Here is a 15,961-nt window from a genome sequence, read left to right on the forward strand (position 1 = left end):
CCTAGTGATTCCTTTGTCAGTGATCTTTATCTTAAAATAATTTGGTAAATATGGCTCCTACAACTTACATTTTTGTTTTTCTTGTAACTCCAGGTTATTATGATGGTTGTAATGAAGATTATATGAGTATAATGGAGCTATTTGTTTCTGAATTCTGAACAACTATTTACAAAATATCCTACTTTTTTCTGTTAAACATATGACTTCTTTGGTCTGCTAAACACATACAGACCTTTAGTTTTGATTTATATGCATTTAAATATACAGATATATCACTCTAAAATAAACTTTAGGTGTGTAACCTAAATATGATTATAAAGAATAATCATATTTGTTTATGGTTGTGTACCTACTTTGAGAAGAAAAAAATATTAGAATGAAATAGATAATTTTACAAGTGTTGATAACTTGCCAGCAAACCAGAAAGTTCAAAGATTTTGAAAGCAAATCTATTTTCTCTGCTTTGTATTAAACTCATTTATCTAAAATGTTATTGCTCCTGGCTTAGAATCATCTTATGCAAATTCTCCTTTTTTGTTGTTGTTGTTTGTCTGTTTGCCTGTTGCTCTCTGTAGACATATAATCTCTACTAAAAATACAAAAATTAGCTGGGTGTGGTGGTGGGCACCTGTAATCCCAGTTACTTGGAAGGCTGAGGCAGGAGAATCACTTGAACCTGGGTGACAGAGGTTGCTGTGAGCCAGGATCGCACCATTGCACTCCAGCCTGGGCAACAAGAGTAAAACTCCTTCTCAAACAAATAAACAAAAAATTCTTTGTATAATCCCCTCAGAGATTATGAAAGTTACTTTGATAAAATTTAATGGTATGCACAAAATAAGTTTCACATGCGAGTAATTTAACACTGTGTGTATTGTATGTTCTCTAGCATATTTTATATTTTGTTTCCATTAAAGAATGCTATTTAATCCAATTTTTGTTTAGTTGTTATTCATTTTGCTTTATAAAATCGGCATAATTTAGTTTATTAAATTTAATGGGCCAATTTATTCAAGTAAACAGTTGAACATTTAATAAGTCATGAGGTCTTTTTGGCATAAACATGAAGTAAACAGAGACAATACTGGCTATGTAATAGAAGCTACATAATTAGAAATAAATATTCTTTTTAAAATTAGCCTGTGGTGTCAGGTGAAAAATTGAAAATATCTATAATAAAGAAATGGCATTAATTCTGCATATGAAGAGAGCATAATTGTACCTATGCTGCACAATTAACTCTCATAATTGAAACAAGGAGATGGACCTTTTTCCAAAACTAAGTGCAAACCTTGTAAAATTTTCAGATTATGTTTCTACATTTAAACATCTACTGAGGTAGGTAGAAGGCAAGTCTATTCAGTCAAACCTGGAATTGCTGGCACATGTGAAGAGTATGCACCACAGGCATCAAAGCCTAAAATGCCCTGAACTATTTTCATTTAGATTAATGAAATATGGTTTTAGTCTTCCTCCTCTCTATTCTGGCTTAGACAGAATTATCAAGCCATTTCAAGTAGATTTGATTCTAGATCTTTTTTTTGTTTTTTTTGAGATGGACACTCCCTCTGCTGCCCAGGCTGGAGTGCAGTGGTGTGATCTCAGCTCACTGCAACCTCCTCTTCCTGGGTTCAAGCAATTCTCCTGCCTCATCCTCCCAAGTAGCTGGGACTACAGGGGCTTGTCACCATGCCCAGCTAATTTTTTGTATTTTTAGTAGAGACAGCGTTTCACCATGTTAGCCAGGATGGTCTGGATCTCCTAACCTCACGATCCTCCCACCTCAGCCTCCCAAATTGCTGGGATTACAGGTGTGAGCCAGCACAGCCAGCCTTGATTCTGGATGTTGACACAGCACATCCTCAACTTATTGTCTCTGAGGATAGAAAAGGTGTGTGATATGGAAGAACAAAACTCAACTTTTGTTATACCTAAGGAGATTTTATTTCTGCCCTGGGGTCCTGGGTAGTTCTGGCAGACATTCCTGGAAGGTAGAAGTGGGAAACAAGCCTAAATGAAAATTGTGTGTGTGTCAAGGCTGTCTTCTTAGGAACTGGCAGGATCAGCCTTCAGTTCTGGGTGGATTTTGGGCAATTGGGTGATACATAAAGAGTGGTTATGTTGCATCAAGTCCTAAGGCAACCTGGCTTCTGCCAGTAGTAAAACCCAGTAAGATTGGCATTTTTTTGGAGTATGCATTGGGTGATTTTTAAAAATCATATACATGATAGGTTTGTTCTGTATATTTTAATGATTATTTTACAAGAGCTGTTTGGCCTTATTTCTATACTGAAGCCCATTCTGAATGTCGTAAAGTCTCTTTGTTATCAGATACTGAAAGATAAAGAACAAGTAAATGAATCTGTTTCAGTTCTTGTGGGTAATTTAGTCAGTAAATTTAATCTCATTCTTGTAATCTTTAAGTTTTACTACTGAAGACCAGAATAAATTTTTTTCACCTAAATTTTTTGCAACTATAAAAGCATGTTCATAATGTCACTTTCATAGATACTATGAATATTGTCAAGTGTGTTGATTTCTAATATAAAGTATTTGAGTATTATGTTACCCAACATATCCAATAAAATGTTTTTAAGTTGCCTATTTAAAAAATCTGTCAATTTTTGAATTGCATGCCTAGCTAAAATTTTTTAAGATGTAGGATAAGATGTAAAATAATCAGACAAGTAATATAAATAAGTTTACTGAAATTTTTTACTTATTTAAGAAACCTAATTGCATTTTAAATAAATTGCTGTCATCTGTTATTATTTTTGTAGCACTTTTTTTTAAGATTTTGCCTCTAAAACAGGCAACAAGATGAACAGAGAAGGAAACAAAAATTCAATGATTGTCATGGAAATAAATTTCAGGAAAATAAAAGGTTTTTATAATGACCTAATTAAAATAACATAAAGGATAAAAATCATAATTTTTGCTTTTACACATTATTGGGCAAAAGTAACCCTGAGATAATAATGTGAAGAAAACACTATTAATTATATTTTTGAGACTCCCTTACTGACTTTGCCACTTAGAGAACCTCCAGCACAGGCCCAGGATTCCCTAGGCATTTCTTCCAGGAGAATATCCAATGGAAATGAAACAGAAGGCCATGTCCACAAAGATATATCAATGCTCACCTCCTAGAGACCAGTGAGTGCAGGTTGCAGAAAGAGTAGGCCCTTCTTGGATGTCCAGGAAGGGGCTACGGGCACCATCCTAGAAAAGGGGACAGGAACTCCACTGAGTCCTCCCACCTGCAGGGGCCTCAGAGGGCCCGGGGGAGGCCAGCCTAGGTGCTCTGTCCTGTTCCTGGCCCTTGAGTCCTGCCTCACCAGCTAGCTTTTTCCACAAAGAAATCAGAATGGCAACCCCCAATGCAGCCCCACTAGAGGAAGGAGATCAAAAGTGTAAAGGCCCACACCCATCTTAGCACATTAAGTGAATTATTATCTAGTCCATAAGTTAGAGCAGAATGTGCTGCTGTGACACCCTGAGATCACATTCTAGGAGGAAACCTGGGTGGCACCTGCCTGAGGCTGTGCATTGGAGGAAGGATGGACAGGCCACCTGGGCTTCAATGAGAATGTGCCCCTAGCCTACCCGGGGAGACATGGGTTTGACAAGAGCAGGCAATATAGGTGGCATGCAGCAGACATGCTGAGGTGTCAGGTGGGCACAGAGGGGTAGGCATGAGGGGAGAACCCTCTCAGGGCACGGTACTCAGCCCAGAGATCTCCCAGCCTTTTGAAGCGCAGGCAATACCTGGAGCTGCAGTGTGGGCACTGTGCAATGGCCTGGTAAAAGTGGGGTGAGCAGCCAGTCACTGAGGGGCTTTCATTGCCCATTTTTCTGATGAGCAAATTGAGCCCCCAAACCCACAAGCCAGGAGGGCCAAAAGCGCTGGGCTGAGGCATCACTTTTTTTCTTCACTGGCTCCCATAAGCATCAGACTTCCCTGGGCTTGCCTGAAAACTCCCTGGGCTTGCCTTGAGGAAGAAAATTCCTCTTCCTTGTGAGTATAGGCACAGAAGTAACCAGGCTTGTGTGGTAAGCCCACCTACAGCCACTTTTGTGGGCCCACCTGGGCCTCCTCACTTCACTGGCACTGGCCTGTGAAACCCAACTGGAATTCCAGAGTCCAGGATTCACATTTGGTTCTAGAACCAAAGAGTTCAGCACCTAGGCCAAAGCAGATGTGGGCCTGTTAATTCCATGGCACAAGTCCCAAATCAGAGAACTAGCTTGACTGTTCAGCTGCACCAAGGCAATGTGTGTACTGTTCCAAGCAGGTCACATTCTCTTCCTGCCTCCAATTATTTTGCCTGCAACTTGTCATTTGTACCAGCTCTTTCTCTACCCCCCACATCCTATGGTTTTTGAAATTCCTCTGAAGACTGCATGAGCCAAGCATTAAGGGTCACAGTGCTCTAGCCTACTCAGGCTGTGCCAGGAAGATAGATCAGATCTTTCAACCTACCTTGACACTTAAGAGTCATGTATAAATAGTAACAGCTCTAGCAGGAGGGCTGTCACATACTCAGACTCTTTTCTGGTCTCCATACCAAAAGACATGTTAGAATGACAAGGCAAATAAGATACAAACCTGGCAGTTCTGCCTTTTAAAGGGCAGCCTCAGCCTGATCACCCTGAACCACAATTTCAGGATCTGGTTTAGCATGCCCTGCCTTGGAAAACAATGGAACTGGGGCCCCAGAGTGTCATGGGCCAAGAAAATCTGGAGAAGGGCATCTCAGCAGCCTGTACACACTTGTAACAGGAACAGACCCTACCAACTAAGAAGCCATCTCATAAACTTAGACAATCATATCAGCAATGTGCACACACATCAGGCCTAATAGATAAACTGCTGTCAACCCAACAATTCAAGTAAAAGTAAAAAATTTTTTGAATCTAGAGTTTCAGGAAGAAGAATGTCCACTCCCTGAACCAGCCTGTATGATGGATGCAACTGACAGTGTTAACTTGACTTGGGCATGGAGACTGACCCTATATAAAAAATGCTTCTGAGTGTTCAGAGTTCCAAGCTAAAAAATCTAGCAGTGGCCTGGCTGTGTGTGGTGACTCACGCCTGTAATCCCACCACTTTGGGAGGCCAAGGTAGGCGGATCACCTGAGGTCGAGAGTTTGAGAGTAGCCTGACCAACATGGAGAAACCCCACCTCTACTAAAAATACAAATAAGCCGAGCCTGGTGGCACATGCCTGTAATCCCAGCTACTCAGGAGGCTGAGGCAGGAGAATCACTTGAACCCAAGAGGTGGAGTTTGTGGTGAGCCAAGATTGTGCCATTGTACTCCAGACTGGGCAACAAGAATGAAACTCCATATAAAAAAAAAAATCTAGTAGTGGCCAACCTGGAGATTGTTCTTCATCATGAGGAGCATCTGAGCCCCTGGTCTGTCCTGGGCATGGTTATCTTGCTAAGCCCACTGACACTGGACTTTCTCCCCTCTATGTAAGTCCCCAGTAAAACTCCATATCTCATTCACTGGTTCTGAGTCTCTTCTTTGACACCTTGAATCTGGTGCCATTTACATGGGAGTTGAAGTTGACACAGCTTACCACATAGTGAGGAAGGATTTCAGGCTCTGCTCAATGTGCTTCAAAGCTCACCAGGGCACCAGCTATAGAAGGATGCAGTTGTTCTCTTTACCACTATCATGCTCTTTTCCTCAGATGCACAATCAGCAGAATACCAAGAATGATGAAGAAGAAGCATACCGTGGTCAGAAGCAAGATTAATGCCAGAATAAGCAGTGACCACTTGGAAAGCAAAAGGAAGCATTTTGCTTTCTCCTGTGGGCAGCCCTTAAATTCTGTCATCACTTTCTGGCTTCAGTAATGGTTTTTCAACTCCATCCTGGCTCTGGGGAAACCATGGGCCCTGGGTGGTAAAAACCTTCACTTAATCCTGGTGCAAAAAAAGCTTTCACTTGACAAATATGACCTCTGTGATCATGAGCTTCTAAGCAATCTGGACAATGCACAACGTAAAAACCTATGAAAGGGAGATGAGTAGGTCTGATGGAAACAATTTCCCACCTTTTTCCTTGGCAAGTTCAAACAACTGGGAAGGTAGACAAATGTGCAGAAGAGGGCAGCATAGTATAACTCCTCATCATGTGAGTTTACAACCAAGAGTTTTCCATTCTAGCTGTGAGAGCTCCAAATGAAAACCAGAAGTTACTTCACTGTGCATCTATCAATGATTGGTTGCACCACATTTTGTCTATCATACTGAGGAATCTTCACTGAGGATCTTCCCATTGAACATATGGAGATAGTGACAGGAAAAGGTAAAATAGCAACTCCATGAAATCATTAATCAAAGTGTAGAAATGTTCCTCTTAACTCATTAGCATTTTTGCACATATTTGCATGTATATCTACCCATAAAGCTGACATTTTTATAATAATTTTTATAATAATTAAGTTATATGTCAAGTTAAAATTAAAAAAAATTTTTTCAGCTGTACAAGTGGCAGCTCACTTGAGGTGAGGAGTTTGAAACCAGGCTAGCCAAGGGCTGGAGCCAAGATGGCCGAATAGGAACAGCTCTGGTCTACAGCTCCCAGCGTCAGCGACGCAGAAGACCAGTGATTTCTGCATTTCCATCTAAGGTACTGGGTTCATCTCACTAGGGAGTGCCAGACAGTGGGCACAGGACAGTGGGTGCAGCGCACCGTACGCGAGCCGAAGCAGGGCGAGGCACTGCCTCACTCAGGAAGCACAAGGGGTCACAGTGTTCCCTTTCCTAGTCAAAGAGAGGGGTGACAGACAGCACCTGGAAAATCGGGTCACTCCCACCCCAATACTGCGCTTTTCAGCCAGGCTTAAAAAACGGTGCACCAGGAGATTACATCCGGCACCTGGCTCGGAGGGTCCTATGCCCACGGAGTCTCTCTGATTGCTAGCACAGCAGTCTGAGATCAAACTGCAAGGTGGCAGCCAGGGTGGGGGAGGGGCGCCCGCCATTGCCCAGGCTTACTTAGGTAAACAAAGCAGCCAGGAAGCTGGAACTGGGTGGAGCCCACCACAGCTCAAGGACGCCTGCCTGCCTCTGTAGGCTCCACCTCTGGGGGCAGAGCACAGACAAACAAAAGGACAGCAGTAACCTCTGCAGACTTAAATGTCCCTGTCTGACAGCTTTGAAGAGAGCAGTGGTTCTCCCAGCACGCAGCTGGAGATCTGAGAACAGGCAGACTGCCCCCTCAAGTGGGTCCCTGACCCCTAACCCCTGAGCAGCCTAACTGGGAGGCACCCACCAGTAGGGGCAGACTGACACCTCACACGGTGTCTGAGACAAAACTTCCAGAGGAATGATCAGACAGCAGCATTCCCGGTTCACGAAAATCCACTGTTTTCCAGCCATCGCTGCTGTTACCCAGGCAAACAGGGTCTGGAGTGGACCTCTAGCAAACTCCAACAGACCTGCAGCTGAGGGTCCTGTCTGTTAGAAGGAAAACTAACAAAGAGAAAGAACATCCACACCAAAAACCCATCTGTACATCACCATCATCAAAGACCAAAAGTAGATAAAACCACAAAGATGGGGAAAAAGCAGAGAAGAAAAACTGGGAGCTCTAAAAAGCAGAGTGCCTCTCCTCCTCCAAAGGAACACAGCTCCTCACCAGCAATGGAACAAAGCTGGACAGAGAATGACTTTGACAAGTTGAGAGAAGAAGGCTTCAGACGATCAAACTACTCCGAGCTACAAAAGGAAATTAAATACAAAGGCAAAGAAGTTGAAAACTTTGAAAAAAATTTAGATGAATGTATAACTAGAATAACCAATACAGAGAAGTGCTTAAAGGAGCTGATGGAGCTGAAAGCCAAGGCTCGAGAAGTACATGAACAATGCAGAAGCCTCAGGAGCTGATGCAATCAACTGGAAGAAAGGGTATCAGTGATGGAAGATGAAATGAATGAAATGAAGCGAGAAGGGAAGTTTAGAGAAAAAAGAACAAAAGAAATGAACACAGCCTCCAAGAAATAAGGGACTATGTGAAAAGACCAAATCTACGTCTCATTGGTGTACCTGAAAGTGATGGGGAAAATGGAACCAAGCTGGAAAACACTCTGCAGGATATTATCCAGGAGAACTTCCCCAATCTAGCAAGGCAGACCAACATTCAGATTCAGGAAATACAGAGAACAACACAAAGATACTCCTTGAGAAGAGCAACTCCAAGACACATAATTGTCAGATTCACCAAAGTTGAAATGAAGGAAAAAATGTTAAGGGCAGCCAGAGAGAAAGGTCAGGTTACCCAAAAAGGGAAGCCCATCAGACTAACAGCTGATCTCTCGGCAGAAACTCTACAAGCCAGAAGAGAGTGGGGGCCAATATTCAACATTCTTAAAGAAAAGAATTTTCAACCCAGAATTTCATATCCAGCCAAACTAAGCTTCATAAGTGAAGGAGAAATAAAATACATTACAGACAAGCAAATGCTGAGAGATTTTGTCACCACCAGGCCTGCCCTAAAAGAGCTCCTGAAGGAAGCACTAAACATGGAAAGGAATAACCGGTACAAGCCACTGCAAAATCATGCCAAATTGTAAAGACCATTGAGGCTAGGAAGAAACTGCATCAACTAACAAGCAAAATAACCAGCTAACATCATAATGACAGGATCAAATTCGCACATAACAATATTAACTTTAAAAGTAAATGGACTAAATGCTCCAATTAAAAGACACAGACTGGCAAACTAGATAAAGAGTCAAGACCCATCAGTGTGCTGTATTCAGGAAACCCATCTCATGTGCAGAGACACACATAGGCTCCAAACAAAAGGATGGAGGAAGATCTACCAAGCAAATGGAAAATAAAAAAAGGCAGGGGTTGCAATCCTAGTCTCTGATAAAACAGACTTTAAACCAACAAAGATCAAAAGAGACAAAGAAGGCCATACTGTAATGGTAAAGGGATCAATTCAACAAGAAGAGCTAACTATCCTAAATATCTATGCACCCAACACAGGAGCACCCAGACTCATAAAGCAAGTCCTGAGTGACCTACAAAGAGACTTAGACTCCCACACAATAATAAACGGAGACTTTACCACCCCACTGTCAACATTAAACAGAACAACGAGACAGAAAGTTAACAAGGATACCCAGGAATTGAACTAAGCTCTTCACCAAGCAGACCTAGCAGACATCTACAGAACTGTCCACCTCAAATCAACAGAATACACATTTTTTTCAGCACCACACCTCACCTATTCCAAAACTGACCACATAGTTGGAAGTAAAGCTCTCCTCAGCAAATGTAAAGGAACAGAAATTATAACAAACTGTCTCTCAGACCACAGTGCAATCAAACTAGAACTCAGGATTAAGAAACTCACTCAAAACAACTCAATAACATGGAAACTGAACAACCTGCTCCTGAATGACTACTGGGTACATAACAAAATGAAGGCAGAAATAAAGATGTTCTTTGAAACCAATGAGAACAAAGACACAACATACCAGAATCTCTGGGACGCATTCAAAGCAGTGTGTAGAGGGAAATTTATAGCACTAAATGCCCACAAGAGAAAGCAGGAAAGATCCAAAACTGACACCCTAACATCACAATTAAAAGAACTAGGAAAGCAAGAGCAAACACATTTAAAAGCTAGCATAAGGCAAGAAATAACTAAAATCAGAGCAGAACTGAAGGAAATGGAGACACAAAAAACCCTTCAAAAAATTAATGAATCCAGGAGCTGGTTTTTTGAAAGGATCAACAAAATTGATAGACCACTAGCAAGACTAATAAAGAAGAAAAAAGAGAAGAATCAAAGAGATGCAATAAAAAATGATAAAGGGGATATCACCACCAATCCCACAGAAATACAAACTACCATCAGAGAATACTACAAACACCTCTACGCAAATAAATTAGAAAATCTAGAAGAAATGGATAAATTCCTCAACACATACACCCTCCCAAGACTAAACCAGGAAGAAGTTGAATCTCAATAGACCAAAAACAGGCTCTGAAATTGTGGCAATAATCAATAGCTTACCAACAAAAAAGAGTCCAGGACCAGGTGGATTCACAGCCGAATTCTACCAGTGGTACAAGGAGGAATAGGTACCATTCCTTCTGAAATTATTCCAATCAATAGAAAAAGAGGGAATCCTACCTAACTCATTTTATGAGGCCAGCATCATCCTGATACCAAAGCCGGGCAGAGACACAACAAAAAAAAAAAGAGAATTTTAGACCAATATCCTTGATGAACATTGATGCAAAAATTCTCAATAAAATACTGGCAAACAGAATCCAGCATCACATCAAAAAGCTTATCCACCATGATCAAGTGGGCTTCATCCCTGGGATGCAAGGCTGGTTCAAGATATGCAAATCAATAAATGTAATCCAGCATATAAACAGAACCAAAGACAAAAACCACATGATTATCTCAATAGATGCAGAAAAGGCCTTTGACAAAATTCAACAACCTTCATGCTAAAAACTCTCAATAAATTAGCTATTGATGGGACGTATCTCAAAAAAGTAAGAGCTATCTATGACAAACCCACAGCCAATATCATACTGAATGGGCAAAAACTGGAAGCATTCCCTTTGAAAACTGGCAGAAGACAGGGATGCCCTCTCTCACCACTCCTATTCAACATAGTTTTGGAATTTCTGGCCAGGGCAATAGGCAGGAGAAGGAAATAAAGGGTATTCAATTAGGAAAAGAGGAAGTCAAATTGTCCCTGTTTACAGAAGACATGACTGTATATCTAGAAAACCCCATTGTCTCAGCCCAAAATCTCCTTAAGCTGATAAGCAACTTCAGCAAAGTGTCAGGATACAAAATCAATGTACAAAAATCACAAGCATTCTTATACACCAATAACAAACAGAGAGCCAAATCATGAGTGAACTCACATTCACAATTGCTTCAAAGAGAATAAAATACCTAGGAATCCAACTTACAAGGGACATGAAGGACCTCTTCAAGGAGAACCACAGACCACTGCTCAATGAAATAAAAGAGGATACAAACAAATGGAAGAGCATTCCATGCTCATGGGTAGGAAGAATCAATATCGTGAAAATGGCCATACTGTCCAAGGTAATTTATAGATTCAATGCCATCCCCATCAAGCTACCAATGACTTTCTTCACAGAATTGGAAAAAACTACTTTAAAGTTCATATGGAACCAACAAAGAGCCCGCATCACCAAGTCAATCCTAAGCCAAAAGAACAAAGCTGGAGGCATCATGCTACCTGACTTCAAACTATACTACAAGGCTACTGTAATCAAAACAGCATGGTACTGGTACCAAAACAGAGATATAGATCAATGGAACAGAACAGAGCCCTCAGAAATAATGCCACATATCTACAACTATCTGATCTTTGAGAAACCTGACAAAAACAAACAGTGGGGAAAGGATTCCCTATTTAATAAATGGTGCTGGGAAAACTGGCTCGCTATATGTAGAAAGTTGAAACTGGATCCCTTCCTTACACCTTATACAAAAGTTAATTCAAGATGGATTAAAGACTTAAATGTTAGACCTAAAACCATAAAAACCCTAGAAGAAAACCTAGGCATTACCATTCAGGACATAGGCATGGGAAAGGACTTCATGTCTAAAACACCAAAAGCAATGGCAACAAAAGCCAAAATTGACAAATGGGATCTAATTAAACTAAAGAGCTTCTGCACAGCAAAAGAAACTACCATCAGAGTGAACAGGCAACCTACAGAATGGGAGAAAATTTTTGCAACCTACTCATCTGACAAAGGGCTAATATCCAGAATCTACAATGAACTCAAACAAATTTACAAGAAAAAAGCAAACAACCCCATCAAAAAGTGGGTGAAGCATATGAACAGACACTTCTCAAAAGGAGACATTTATGCAGCCAAAAAACACATAAAAAAATGCTCACCATCACTGGCCATCAGAGAAATGCAAATCAAAACCACAATGAGATACCATCTCATACCAGTTAGAATGGCAATCATTAAGAAGTCAGGAAACAACAAGTGCTGGAGAGGATGTGGAGAAATAGGAACACTTTTACACTGTTGGTGGGACTGTAAACTAGTTCAACCCTTGTGGAAGTCAGTGTGGTGATTCCTCAGGGATCTAGAACTAGAAATACCATTTGACCCAGCCATCCCATTACTGGGTATATACCCAAAGGTCTATAAATCATGCTGCTATAAAGACACATGCACACGTATGTTTATTGCGGCACCATTCACAATAGCAAAGACTTGGAACCAACCCAAATGTCCAATAATGATCGACCGGATTAAGAAAATGTGGCACATATACACCATGGAATAGTATGCAGCCATAAAAAATGATGAGTTCATGTCCTTTGTAGGGACATGGATGACATTGGAAATCATCATTCTCAGTAAACTATCGCAAGAACAAAAAACCAAACACCTCATATTCTCACTCATAGGTGGGAATTGAACAATGAGAACACATGGACACAGGAAGGGGAACATCACACTCTGGGGACTGTTGTGGGGTGGGGGTGGGGGAGGGATAGCATTAGGAGATATACCTAATGCTAAATTATGAGTTAATGGGTGCAGCACACCAGCATGGCACATGTATACATATGTAACTAACCTGCACATTGTGCACATGTACCCTAAAACTTAAAGTATAACAATAATAAAATAAAATAAAATAAAAAAAGAAACCAGCCTGGCCAACATGGTGAAACTCCGTCTCTACTAAAAATAAAATAAAATAAAAAATCAGCCGGGCTTGGTGGCACACACCTACAATCCCAGCTACTTGGAAGGCTGAGGCAGGAGAATTGCTCAAGTCCAGGAGGCAGAGGTTGCAGTCAGCTGAGTTCATGCCACTGCACTCCAGCCTGGGTGACATAGCAAGATTCTGTCTCAAAAACAAACACACAAAAACATTTTTTTTTTTTACAACAAAAAGACACACATATGGTCTAGGCATGCTCTGGTGCAGTGGAGTGGGTGTGGAGCCTGTCCTGTGAAAGAAGGAAGAAGAGTCAGTGCCCTGCATTATGTGTGGGGGATCCATTGGGACACAAATAAAGAGGCAGTCAGGGCCTCGGCATAGCAACACTGAGGCTTGCAGGGGGCTTCTGAAAGCAGCAGAAATGGCCTGTGACACTGAATGCTACGTGGGCCTGTAACAATGAAAGCTCTGCCCAGGGATCTTAGCAATCCTGCTAGGAGGTCCTGACTATATCCTAGATTGGAGACTCCTGAAGTAGAGTGGCTGGCAGAGAGCCTCAGCAAACAGGAGTCTTAACCACTGTGGCTGGGCCAATCTAAAATAGCACATTTATTCTTTTTTACAAAACAAAATATAGAAAAATAAAGTGAAAAAATGAAATCAAGAGAAGTAAAATAAAATTTAAAAATAAATTTAAAGTAATTAAAAATAGTAAGGACACATAAACTGAAATAAAATAGAGAAAAATAAAGAGAAATGTAATTAAGATCAGTGAAAATAAATAAAATGAAGATGAACTTAATAAATACTATAAAATTAAGAGAAATAAAAGAAATGAAATAATTTGCAGTGCAACAAAATAAGAAAATTTTTAAGAATGAGGAGAAAAAACTGAAAATAAAAAATAAAGGTAAATATGGAGAAAGAAAATAAAATAATATGAAGGGATATTAATGGAAATAAAAGAAACAAAAAGAAATTAAATAAAAAGTTACAAACAAGATACAAATTGGAGAAAATTTGAAATGAAGAGAATGTAATAAGAAAAATTAAAATAGAAAATTAATAGAAAAAATGAAAGTAAATAAAAAATAAATAGTAACAAAATAAAGATAAAGACAAATATACAGAGAAATAAAAGGTTATAAAGAAAAATAAGACCTGGGGATAATCTACAAAACACTTCACCCAACAATAGCATAATAAATAATATTTCTAATTACATATGGCACGTTTTCTTAGATAGGCAAACTGCTAGGATAGAATGCAAGTTTTAGCATGTTTAATCAGATGGTAATCACAAAAAGTATTATTTCGGACTACAATAAAATATAACTGGAATTTAAAAACCAAAAGAAAACTAGCATGTCTGCATATATATGAAAACTAGACAAATTCTTGAGCATACTATTTTTCAAGAGTTAGAACATGCAAGTTTCTTTAGATGTTAATAGTATTCGAAATGATCTACAGATCAATCAGATCTCTTTCACAAAACCAGTGGTTCTTATTGCAGAAGTACTAAAATACTCTAAAATGTTTGAGTCAATATTTAGCTGTGTCACCCAAGCTAGAATGCAGTGTCATAATCATGGCTCACTGTAGCCTTGACCTCTCAAGCTCTATTGATCCTCCCACCTCAGCCTCACAAGTAGCTGGCACTGCAGTTGCATGCCATCATGCCCAGAAAGTTTTTGTATTTTTTGTTGAGACAGGGTTTCTCTATATTTCCCAGGCTGGCCTCAAACTCCTGGGCTCCAGCAATCCAACTGCCTTGGCTTCCCATGTTCTGGGATCACAGGAGTGAGCCACCGAATATTGCCCTATAACTTCTATAAATACTCAAAAAAGCAAAAGTAGCCAAACAACCTGAAAAAAAGAATAAACTCAGAGGCATAATTCTTTTTTATTTCAAAACATATTACAAAGTTACAGTAATCAAAACAGTGTGGTGCTGGCATAAAGACAGAAAAATAAATGTTGAAACAGATAAGAGAATCCAGAAAGAAACCCACATGCATATACTCAGCTTATCCTAAATGACGGTTCCAAATCCTCATGTTGCAGAACTTTCTCCTTCAGCAAAATTGGGTTCTTGTCACATGACTAGGAAAAATTAGGCTCAGGGACACTCTGAAGGATGAGGAGTACAGTTGATTGGGAAAAAAAAAAAAACCTCTCAACAAAGTGAGTGGGAATCCTGTTTACAGGCCCCAAGTCCCAGACTGGTAAACAGCAGACCATCAAAGAAGAACTGAAGAAGCCAGGCACCTCCTCCCTGCACAAGGGGTGAACTTTCCATGGATCCACTACCTTCCCCCAGTGTGCAGGTGGACAATATTCAGAGAGAATCAGTTGGAAAGAGGCAGGCTTCATCTGGGACAGCAGTATGATTTTTCAGCCTTCACGCTGTTTTAGGCTTGAAGGTGGGGTTTTACCCAAGGCCCTTGGCTGTTTCCTAACTCTGTTATTTCCCCCTCTAAAGAAGTACATCTAACTGCTATTACAATAAGGATAAGGATGAGGACAAAAACCACTTCTAAGTGCTTCCTGCTGAAAGGGGGTACTGTTTTGGAAAAATGGCAGTCAGATCTCCTTAAGATGCCTATCTAAGTGTCCCCAGTGAAAGGGACCATTGTCTGAGGCTCTGGTTGTGTGACTGTTTAAAGTTTGGTAGCCTGAAGGTGAGAAGAATCAAACTGGGTTATTGAAAAACATGTACTAAAATGAAACAAGGGGAAGGTGGCAAGGATGGGTAAAAAATTCCAAGGTCTTTTACCAGTTTACATAGGGAGAGGGAGGCCAAAAGCACAACTGGAAAAAAACAAACAACAAACAAACAAACAAACAAACAAAACCCAAAAAAAGGAAGCATTTGTTCAAAGGAGTCCCAAGGGCTCAGGATGCCTTCAAAAGGGCTATAGACTGAAGATGAATGGCTACTCATTTAGAAAGAGAGAGGGGACCAGATGTCCCTGGTTCCTTTCTCTTCCTAGCAAATACCCACTGCATGTTGTGGGATAGGAAAAAAATGTTCTCTTTCTCCCTTCATTCCTTGTATCCCTGAGTCCTAGTGATTGTGACAGGGTGCCACCCATGGGTGTCAAGCAGCTTTAACCCATGTTAACAGGGAGGCATAGGGGGTGAATATATCTGCTGTTACTAATATATGCCCTATCTCTCCTGCTGTCAGTAGTTCTGGAGTTCACTAGACCTCATTTATGACATGGA

At 40.4% G+C, this 15,961-nt stretch overlaps 1 pseudogene; it reads left to right on the forward strand.

Moving 5' to 3' along the window:
- TRIM60P15 (tripartite motif containing 60 pseudogene 15) lies at positions 1,251–2,542 on the forward strand (annotated as a pseudogene).
- The last annotated feature ends 13,419 nt before the right edge of the window (positions 2,543–15,961 follow it).

This window comes from Homo sapiens, chromosome 8 (assembly GCF_000001405.40).
Source record: "Homo sapiens chromosome 8, GRCh38.p14 Primary Assembly".
Taxonomy (NCBI): Eukaryota; Metazoa; Chordata; class Mammalia; order Primates; family Hominidae; genus Homo; species Homo sapiens.